We start from the raw sequence: 10,199 nt of genomic DNA, 5'->3' as shown, positions 1-10,199 counted from the left end.
TAAACAAAATGTGGTACATCCATACAATATTACTCCATTATGTTATATGATTCCATTTACATGAAACATCCATTATAGGTAAATCCATAGAGGTAGAAGGTCAAATAGGGTTTGTCAGAGGCTGTGGGAGAGAGGACTGGGGAGTGAGGATGACTTCTAATGAGCACCGGATCTACTCTGAGGGATGAAAGTATTACGGAGCTGGACAGCAGTGAGGACTGCACATTATGAATGTACTAAGTGCCCCTGAACAGTCTGCTTCAACATGGTTCATTCTGTTAGATGAATTTCAGCTCCGTTTTTAAAAACTTGACACCCAGGTGGATTTAGGGGAAATTTCCATGAAACATTCAAAGAATAGGTATTTCTTACCCTTCAGAAATATTTATATAGAAAAGCAGAAGAGGGATACTCCCGATATAGTTAGGATATTTGTCCCCACCCAAGTCTCATATTGAATTATCCCCAGTGTTGGAGGTGGGGCCTGGTGGGAGACGTTTGGGTCATGGGGACGGATCCTCCATGGCTTGGTGCAGTTTTCTTGGTAGTGAGTTCTCCCGAGATGTGGTTGTTGTCAAGTGTGTGTGGCATCTACTCCCCGACCCCCATCTCTTGCTCCTGCTCCCACCATGTGAGACTCCTGTTATCACTTCATCTTCCACCATGAGCAAAAGCTCCCTGAGGCCTCCCCAGAAGCCGAGCACATGCCAGGGCCATGCTTCCAGTACAGCCTGCAGAACCGTAAGCCAAATCAACCTCTTTCTTTATAAATTACCCAATCTCAGGTATTTCTTTATAGCAATGCAAGAATGGCCTAACATGCTCCCCAACTCAAGACACGACTTTAGGCCAGGGACGGTGGCTCATGCCTGTAATCCCAGCACTTTGGGAGGCCAAGGCAGGCGGATCACAAGGTCAGGAGATTGAGACCATCCTGGCAAACACAGTGAAACACTGTCTCTACTAAAAATACAGAAAATTAGCCGGGCGTGGTGGCGGGCACCTGTAGTCCCAGCTACTCCGGTAGGCTGAGGCAGGAGAATGGCACGAACCTGGGAGGCGGAGCTTGCAGTGAGCCGAGATTGCACCACTGCACTCAAGCCTGGGGAACAGAGTGAGACTCCATCTGAAAAAAAAAAAAAAAGATAGGACTTCAGCGTAACTGTGATTCCAAAACTGTACAAAGACAGTACAAGAAAGGAAAGTTTCAGTTCAACTTTACCCATGAGATGTAAAAACCCTTAAATTACATACTTATCAAATAGAACCTGGTAATGTATAAAAACATAATGACCACATTGGGTTTACTTCAGGCATGCAAGACTAGTTCATTAGAAAATCTACTGACATAAGGCTGGGCGCGGTGGCTCACACCTGTAATCCCAGCACTTTGGGAGGCCGAGGCGGGCAGATCACAAGGTCAGGAGATGGAGACCATCCTGGCTAACACGGTGAAACCCCGTCTCTACTAAAAATACAAAAAAATTAGCCAGGCGTGGTGGCGTGCACCTGTAGTCCCAGCTGCTGGGGAGGCTGAGGCAGGAGAATGGCATGAACCCGGGAGGCAGAGCTTGCAGTGAGCTGAGATCGCGCCACTGCACTCCAGCCTGGGCGACAGAGCGAGATTCTGTCTCAAAAAAAAAGAAAAAGAAAATCTACTGATATAATTCACCATGGTAATAGATTAAAGGAGAAAAGCCAGAAGATGTCACTGATGATGGAAAACCATTCAATAAATTTCAACATCTACTCATGACAAAAACTCTTAGCAAACCAAGAATGGAAAGCGTACTTTATTTATTTATTTATTTATTTATTTATTTATTGTATTATTATTATTATTTGAGACAGACTCTAGCTCTGTCACCCAGGCTGGAGGGCAGAAGAAAGGTCAGAGAGACTTGAAGGGGATCCGGACAGGCCACCACAGAATATGCGACTTTGACATAAAGATTATTTTGAGCTGAAGGCAATTGAGAATCAACAGATCCAGAAAGAGTTCTCTGCCCTCCCCCTTTTTGCCTAAAAGCAGGTCATAAATTTGATCACACCAGTGTACTCCAGCCTGCGTGACAGAGGAAGACCCTGTCTCTTAAAAAAGTAAATAAGTAAATAAAAGTATCTGTATTTCTATATACCAGCAACAATCAGAAAACAATTTAAAAAAGGAATTAACAATGAAAAAGAAAGGAAGGAAGGAGGGAAGGGAGGGAGGGAGGGAGGAAAGAAAGAAAAAGGAGAAAGAAGGAAAGAAGGAAGGAGGGAGGGAGGGAGGGAAGGAAGGAGAGAGAGAGAAAGAGAAAGGAAGAAAGAGAGAGAGAGAAAGAGAAAGAAAGAGAGAGAGAGAAAGAGAAAGAAAGAAAGAGAAAGAAGGAAAAGGAAAAAAAGAGAAAAAGAAAAGGAAAGGAAAGGGAGAGAGAGAAAGAAAAGGAAAGAGAGAAAAAGAAAGAAAGGGAGAGAGAAAGAAAGAAAAAGAAAGAAAAGAGAAAGAAAGAGAAGAGAGAAAGAAGAAAGAAAAAAAGACAGACCTAATAATACCAACAATAAATCCAAAAGATGTGTAAACGCTTAATGGGGAAATTACAAAACTTTATTGAAAAACATTAAAGTTGGCTTATGCGTGGGTCAACCATAGTGGCTCACGCCTGTAATCCCAGCACTTTGGGTGGCTGAGGCAAGTGGATCACTTGAGGCCAGGAATTCAAGACCAGCCTGGTCAACATGATGAAACCCCATCTCTATTAAAAATACAAAAGAATTAGCCAGGCATGGTGGCACATGCCTGTAATCCCAGTTACATGGGAGGCTGAGGTGGGATAATCGCTTGAACTCGGGAGGTGGAGGTTACAGTGAGCTGAGATCGCGCCATTGCACTCCAGTCTGGGAGACAGAGTGAGACTCTGTTTCAAAAAAAAAAAAAAACAAATCATATCAGCAGCAACAACAAAAACCCGATTCAAAACTGGGCAAAGTGCACACTTCAGTAGCACATATACTAAAAATGGAACAACACAGATTATTAGCATGGCCCCTGGAAAAAAAAATTTAATGGGCAAAGCACTTGAATAGACATATCTAAGATGTACAAATGGCCAATAAGCAGATGAAAAGATGCTCCACATCATTAGTCATTAGGAAAATGCAAACCAAAACCACAATGAGAATGACCATATGATTCAGCAATTCCACTTCTGCGTGTATACCCCAAAGAATCGAAAGCAGGGTCCGGAAGAGCTGTGGACACCATGTTAACAGCAGCATTATTCACAATAGCTAAGAGGTGGAAGTAACCCAAGAATCTATAAAGGGATGAAAGGATAAGCAAAATGTGGAACATACATACACTTAAATTTTATTCAGCCTTAAAAAGGAAGGAAATTATGGGCTAGGGGCAGTGGCTCACGCCTGTAATCCCAGCACTTTCAGAGGCCAAGGCGGGCGGATCATTTGATGTCAGGAGTTTGAGGCCAGCCTGAAGAACACAGCGAAACCCCGTCTGTACAAAAAATACAAAAATCAGCCTGGTGTGGTTGCGCGCGCCTGTGATCCCAGCTACTTGGGAGCTGAGGCAGGAGAATCGCTTGAACCTGGGAGGCGGAGGTTGCGGTGAGCCAAGATCACACCACCGCACTCTAGCCTGGGCAACAGAGCGAGACTCGGTCTCAAAAAAAAAAGGAAGGAAATTCTAACACATGCCACAACATGGACGTTGAGGATGATTTGCTAAGTAAAATAAGCCAGTCACAGAAAGACAAATACTATGTGATTCCACGGAGAGGAGGTACTGAGGGTACTCTCATTCACAGAGAGAGAAGGTGGAATGGTGGTTGCCAGGGGCTAGGGGTAGGGGGAAGGAAAGTTAGTGTTTACTGGATACAGAGTCTCAGTTTTACAAGATGAAAAAGAGTTCGGGAGATGGATGGTGCTGATGCTTGCACAACGGGATGAATGTATCTAATACCACCGAACCGTATACTTAAAATGGTTAGGATGGTACATTTCATGTTGTATGTATTTTACTGCAATAAAAAAATTTAATGGGGGAAATCCATTAATAGAGGAATGCCCAGGAGTTTGAGACCAGCCTGGACAACATAGTGAGACCCCATCTCTACAAAAAAATACAAAAAAATTAGCTGGGTGTGGTGGCATGTGCCTGCAGTGCCAGGTACCTGTAGTTCCAGCTACTGGGGGTGAAGGGGCGGGCAGCTGAGGTGAAAGAATGGCTTGAGCCCAGGAGGTGGAGGCTGCAGTGAGTCTTAATCGCACCATTATTCTCCAGCCTAGGTGACAGAACAAGACTCAGTCTCAAAAAAAAAAAAAAAAAGGTTAAATTACAGTGTGGTTATACTATAACATTCTGTTCAACCATTACATAAACAAAGTGGACTTGAACATGAGCAGATTTCTAAGACATACTGTTTCAAAAAATTCAATTTGCAAAACAATATACTCAATAGGATCCTATGTATTTTATTTTGTTTTTATTTATTTATTTATTTTGAGATGGAGTTTTGCTCTTGTTGCCCAGGCTGGAGTGCAATTGCGTGATCTCGGCTCACTGCAACCTCCGCCTCCCGGGTTCAAGCGATTCTCCTGTCTTAGCCTCCTGAGTAGCTGGGCTTATAGGCGCCGGACGCCAGGCCCAGCTAATTTTTGTATTTTTTTTTTTTTAGTAGAGATGCGGTTTCACCATGTTGGCCAGGCTGGTCTCGAACTCCTGACCTCAGGTGATCCACCCACCTCGGCTTCCCAAGGTGCTGGGATTACAGGCATGAGCCACTGTGCTCGGCCTTACTTTATTTTTAAAAAATTGACACAATAATGTACAATCTCTGTGTATGTATAAAACATAATGTGTGTGGATGTGTGTGTAGAGTTACATATTTGTAAATTCCTAGAAAACAGACTGTAAGCGAGACCTCAAAGTGGGACTTTGGGGAAAGGAAGAGGAGGTAGGGGAGGGAGGGCGGGACAGAGAACTTTCAAGTCTTGCTTTATGTATTCATGTATCATTTGAGTCTTTCCCAATGAACAGGTATTGGTGTATTTGTTGTATAATTACATTTTTAAGTGCTTTAAGACCCAGGTGGCGCTGAGCTAGATGCCTCATGGACTAATGACATGGTATTATCCACCATCCGGAGATAATTTACTCTTTCATAAGTGTGCTGAGTGGCTGGCATTCCTCAATAAGGGATGTAGAAGCATAAGCAAGTATTAGAAAAGAGGATGATCTCACTCTTGCCTGTGACCTTTGTAAGTTTTATTCTTGCACTGATTTACTGCTGAAGCCCAAATTTGAGGCCTGACCATCCTTTTATTACCATCATCCTTTAACTTGCCCCCGGCTGTCAAGTTATCTGTAACAAAGCTTCCTCCCAGTCACCCTACCTGCCTCAGCTAGTCACTCAGCAATGCAAATAGAGAGAATTCTGCATTTTGTAAGACTGACCACATAGCACAGTAGGGCCCCAGGCGCCAGGCAGGCAGGGCCTAAGACCGCCGCACAACAGATACGGAGGGCTGGAGGGAGGAATTTTCAGGACCAGGTGAATACGGGACTGTCGCCAGGCCACATTCCATCTAGGTCTAAAAAACAAGGAAACAGCCTGGAGCAGCGGCTCACTCCTGTAATCCCAGCACTTTGGGAGGCCGAGGTGGGTGGATCACCTGAGGTCAGGAGTTCAAGACCAGCCTGGCCAACATAGTGAAATCCCATCTCTACTAAAAATATAAAAATTAGCCGGGTGTGGTGGTGGGCGCCTGTAATCCCAGCTACTTGAGAGGCTGAGGCAGGAGAATCCTTTGAACCCGAGAGGCGGAGGTTGCAGTGAGCGGAGACCGCACCATTGCACTCCAGCCTGGGCGACAAGAGTGAAACTCTATCTCAAAGAAAAAAAGGAAACATAACTTTCTCTTCAGTATACTTTGTGAAATCTTATTCTCTTCTGGAAAGAAGAAATCTGAACCAAGCACACTTGTTATGGCTTACTTACCTTTGCTTGCCTTTAAAGAAAACCACTGAAGCAAAGATGTGAAATCTAAAGAGGGCAACATCTCGCTCCTGGCTGCTGTCTTCCAACACAGGCTCTCAGATTTTACCATCATCAATCCAAGTTTTGTGTCTGGAGGTTGCACCTCCATTAGCCACAATTTTGTCTTTTCTTCTTTATTTTTTAAGACAATGAACTTTCAAGTCTCATGTTATTTTTAAGCCAAGTAAAAACCTCCAGGAGCAGGCTGAATTTAAAAACAAAATACTTGCCGGGCGCGGTAGCTCACGCCTGTAATCCCGGAACTTTGGGAGGCTGAGGTGGGTGGATCACGAGATCAGGAATTTGAGACCAGCCTGGCCAACGTGGTGAAACCCCATCTCCAGGAAAAATATAAAAATTATCCGGACGTGGTGGTGCATGCCTGTAATCCCAGCTACTCAGGAGGCTGAGGGAGGAGAATCGCTTGAACCAGGGAGGTGGAGGTTGTAGTGAGCCGAGATTGTGCCACTGCACTCCAGCTTGGGCGACAAGAGCAAGACTCTATCTCAAAAAAAAAAAAAAAAAAAAAAAGAAAAGAAACCCTGAGAATGTGATCACATGCAGAATTGAAACAGCAAAGCAAAATAAAGCAGCTCTGTGAAGTAGCTGAATGTCTGAGGCCCAGCAGGTATGCAGCCCTGTGGGGAGATCCCATCTGATCAGCTGGTCCGGGACTTGTTTGGGAACCTGCAAGCTGCAAGAAGTGAAAAAGATGATGATGGTGGTGATAATGATGGTGACGGTGGTGGTGGTGGTGGTGATGCTGATGGTGATGGTGGTGGTGAGGGTGATGGTGATGGTGGTGGTGATGGTGATGATGGTAGTGGTGAGGGTGATGGTGTTGGTAGTGGTGATGGTGGTGGTGAGGGTGATGGTGAAGGTGATGCTGGTGGTGATGGTGGTGGTGGTGAAGGTGATGGTGGTGGTGATGGTGATGGTGGTGGTGAGGGTGATGCTGGTGGTGATGGTGATGGTGGTGGTGAGTGTGGTGATGGTGGTGGTGAGGGTGATGGTGAGGGTGATGCTGGTGGTGATGGTGGTGGTGGTGGTGAAGGTGATGGTGGTGGTGATGGTGATGGTGGTGAGGGTGATGCTGGTGGTAATGATGGTGGTGATGGTGGTGGTGGTGAGTGTGGTGATAGTGGTGAGGGTGATGGTGAGGGTGGTGAGGGTGATGGTGATGACGGTGGTAGTGATGGTGATGATGGTGATGGTGATGGTAATGATGGTGATAGTGATGGTGGTGGTGGTGACAACAGTGGGGATGTTGATGATGATGGAGATGGTGATAGTGATTGTGGTGGTGGTGATGGTGATGGTGGTGAATCCAGCATTCACATTCTTCCCAGTGCTAAAGACCTTCCTTAGTGCTCAGTCCCATAAGAGCCCTTGGCCCCAGCCTGGATGCCTTGGGACTCAAGCTAGGGTCTGGGAAAAGGGCCAGCTCTGGAAAGGCCTCATGCTGGAACCGTGAAGAATGTGTCCAGCCCAGATGTGAAAAGGAACAGCCCCTTCCTCTGCACTGTGCTGACAGACTCCTTGTGTGCATGGGGAAGATGCTGTAGCTAATAAACAGGGAAGAGTCTGAGAGCAGCCCAGATCCCCCCCAGCACTCCTTGAATGCCCAGGTCCCTGCTGCTGCTTCCCTCTAAAAAGGGAGGGTGTTTTCTAAAAAAAACAAGCTAATTCTACAGGAGAACTGACTGCAGGAGAACATGATGTCCTCCTCATTCCTTAGGAAACCAACACCCTAGAATATAGAGTAAGTAACCAGACTCAGATGATACAGTTGGCTACTAAAGTAAAATCATATTTTACATTTGATGTTGCAGTTACAGAAATGAATCCTATGGCATAGGCCCAGTAGGCTCTTGACCTCTAGAAAGACTTTCTTCTCTGCAATGGATGATACCAATGACCACTTTTTCTAGGGTTACTGGTCAGACAGAGTTGGAGATGCAGCACATAAATGTCCACAAACTGGTAGAAGTTCTCGAAGATATGACAAGTGAAAAAGCAGGGGCAGAAGAATGCAACCCCTCTTGGGATTCTGGATAGAAGTTGATCCTTTTGTATAAAGAGTGAAAGAAAATCGGCTGGGCACAGTGGCTCACGCCTGTCACACCCTCACCCCCAAATCAGGAGGAGCACAGTCAAGCCACCTGCCACACATCTTAATCACACATCTGAATTCTGACTCCAGGTCACTTTTCAACTGTAGATAGCACCCCTCCCACTTAAGTTCCCAATTTTTGTTTGTCCCCTCCCCGACCAGAAGTTTAGGAAGCAAGTTTGTTCAGCCTGGGAAAGAAGTGGACAGATAAGAGAGAGTGGAGGTTTTAAAAATGTTATCAACATGCCAAAAGCTAGTCATTCAAGAAGGACCAGAAAAAGCCCAAGGTTTAGATAAAGCTGGTTCCTGGAGCCCCCATCCCAAACACTGTCAGAGAAAGGGAAATGAATCTTCACTACAATGCCTGGGCTCTGATAATACTGATTTACCTTAGAGATGCTCTTTTAGAAATGCTCATCTAGAAACACCTTTTCCTGCTGCCCTGAGGGCACAAAAACTCAAAGAGCCAATTTCTTTCACTATCTCCCTTCCTGTAGATATCTCTAAAATTCCAAGGAGCTTATTCAGAGGTAAGGGATGCTGGCAAAACACCTAGCAAACTTGAGAGAGTTTACAGTTGTTCACTATTAGTAATAAGTGGTTTTCAGATCAGCAGTTTCACTTTTTGTTCTTTTTTTTTGAGACAGAATCTCACTCTGTTGCCCAGGCTGGAGTGCAGTGCTGTGATCTTGGCTCACTGCAAACTCTGCTGCCCGGGTTCAAGCGATTCTCCTGCCTCAGCCTCCCAAGTAGCTGGGATTACAGGCGTCCGCCATCACGCCCAGCTAATTTTTGTAGTTTTTAGTAGAGACAGGGTTTCACCATCTTAATCAGGCTGGTCTTGAACTCCTGAACTCGTGATCCACCCACCTTGGCCTCCCAAAGTGTTGGGATTACAGGCATTAGCCACCGCACCCAGCCTGTGACTTTCAAATAGCAGGTATCCGCCGGGCACGGTGGCTCATGCCTGTAATCCCAGCACTTTGGAAGGCTAAGGCAGACAGATCACCTGAGGTCAGGAGTTCAAGACCAGCCTGGCCAATGTGGTGAAACCCTGTCTCTACTAAATATGCAAAAATTAGCTGGGCATGGCGGCAGGCAATTGTAATCCCAGCTACTTGGGAGGCTGAGGCAGAATTGCTTGAACCTGAAAGGTGGAGGTCGTGGTGAGCTGAGATAGGGCCATTCATTGGACTTCAGCCTGGGAGACAGAGAGACTCCGTCTCAAACAAACAAAACAAATAGCAGGTATCCAGTAAACAAACAGCAGGTGTCCAGTTTTCTTTCCTTATTAAAAGTGGGCTGGGCACTGTGGCTCACGCTGCAATCCTAGCACTTGGGAGGTTGAGGTAAGAGGATCACTTGAGCCCAGGAGTTTGAGACCAGCCTGGGCAACATACTGAAACCCTATCTCTACAAAAAATAACTAGCTGGACATGGTGGTGTGTGCCTGTAGTCTCAGCTACTTGGGTGGCTAAGGCATGAGGATCGCTTGAGCTGGGGAGGACCAGGCTGCAGTGAGCCATAGTTGCGCCACCACAATCCAGCCTGGGCAACAGAGCGAGACCCTGTCTCAAAAACAAAACAAGGCCAGGCGTGGTGGCTCATGCCTGTAATCCCAGGACTGTGGGAGGCCGAGGCAGGCGGATCACTTGAGGCTATGAGTTTGAGACCAGCCTGGGTAACACAGTGAAACCTCATCTCTACAAAAAATACCAAAAATTAGCTGGGCACAGTGGTGCGTGCATGTAGTCCCAGCTACTCAGGAGGCTGAGGCAGGAGAATTGCTTGAACCCAGGAGGCAGAAGTTGCAGTGAGCCGAGATCGAGATACTGCACTCCAGCAGACTAGAGTGAGATCCTGTCTCTAAAGAAAAAAACAACAAAAGTGTATTTTACCTCAAATTCACCAATCTGAACTCTAAATTCATCCCAGCCCCTCCCCCAAGGACTCCTTCACAAACTCAAGACATTGAATCTCCACATGATCTGTGTTCAAGTCAGAAATGTGGGGGTTGTGGCCGGGCGCAGTGGCTCACACATGAAATC

The 10,199-nt window shown here is 45.9% G+C and overlaps 2 annotated features.

The window, feature by feature from the left end:
* Nucleotides 5,079–5,609: an enhancer, noted in NCBI's record as "NANOG hESC enhancer chr1:8051898-8052428 (GRCh37/hg19 assembly coordinates)". NCBI's record gives its function as "activates a minimal SCP1, AML or CMV promoter by ChIP-STARR-seq in naive H9 embryonic stem cells {active_cell/tissue: H9 hESC(naive)}" and the evidence as "EXISTENCE:reporter gene assay evidence [ECO:0000049][PMID:30033119]".
* Nucleotides 8,678–8,737: an enhancer, noted in NCBI's record as "active region_98". NCBI's record gives its function as "activates an Ori minimal core promoter by ATAC-STARR-seq in GM12878 lymphoblastoid cells {active_cell/tissue: GM12878}" and the evidence as "EXISTENCE:reporter gene assay evidence [ECO:0000049][PMID:35858748]".

Source organism: Homo sapiens, chromosome 1 (assembly GCF_000001405.40).
Source record: "Homo sapiens chromosome 1, GRCh38.p14 Primary Assembly".
NCBI classification, from domain to species: domain Eukaryota; kingdom Metazoa; phylum Chordata; class Mammalia; order Primates; family Hominidae; genus Homo; species Homo sapiens.
Note: the sequence above shows the minus strand (reverse complement) of the source record. Positions and strands in the feature narration are given on the sequence as shown.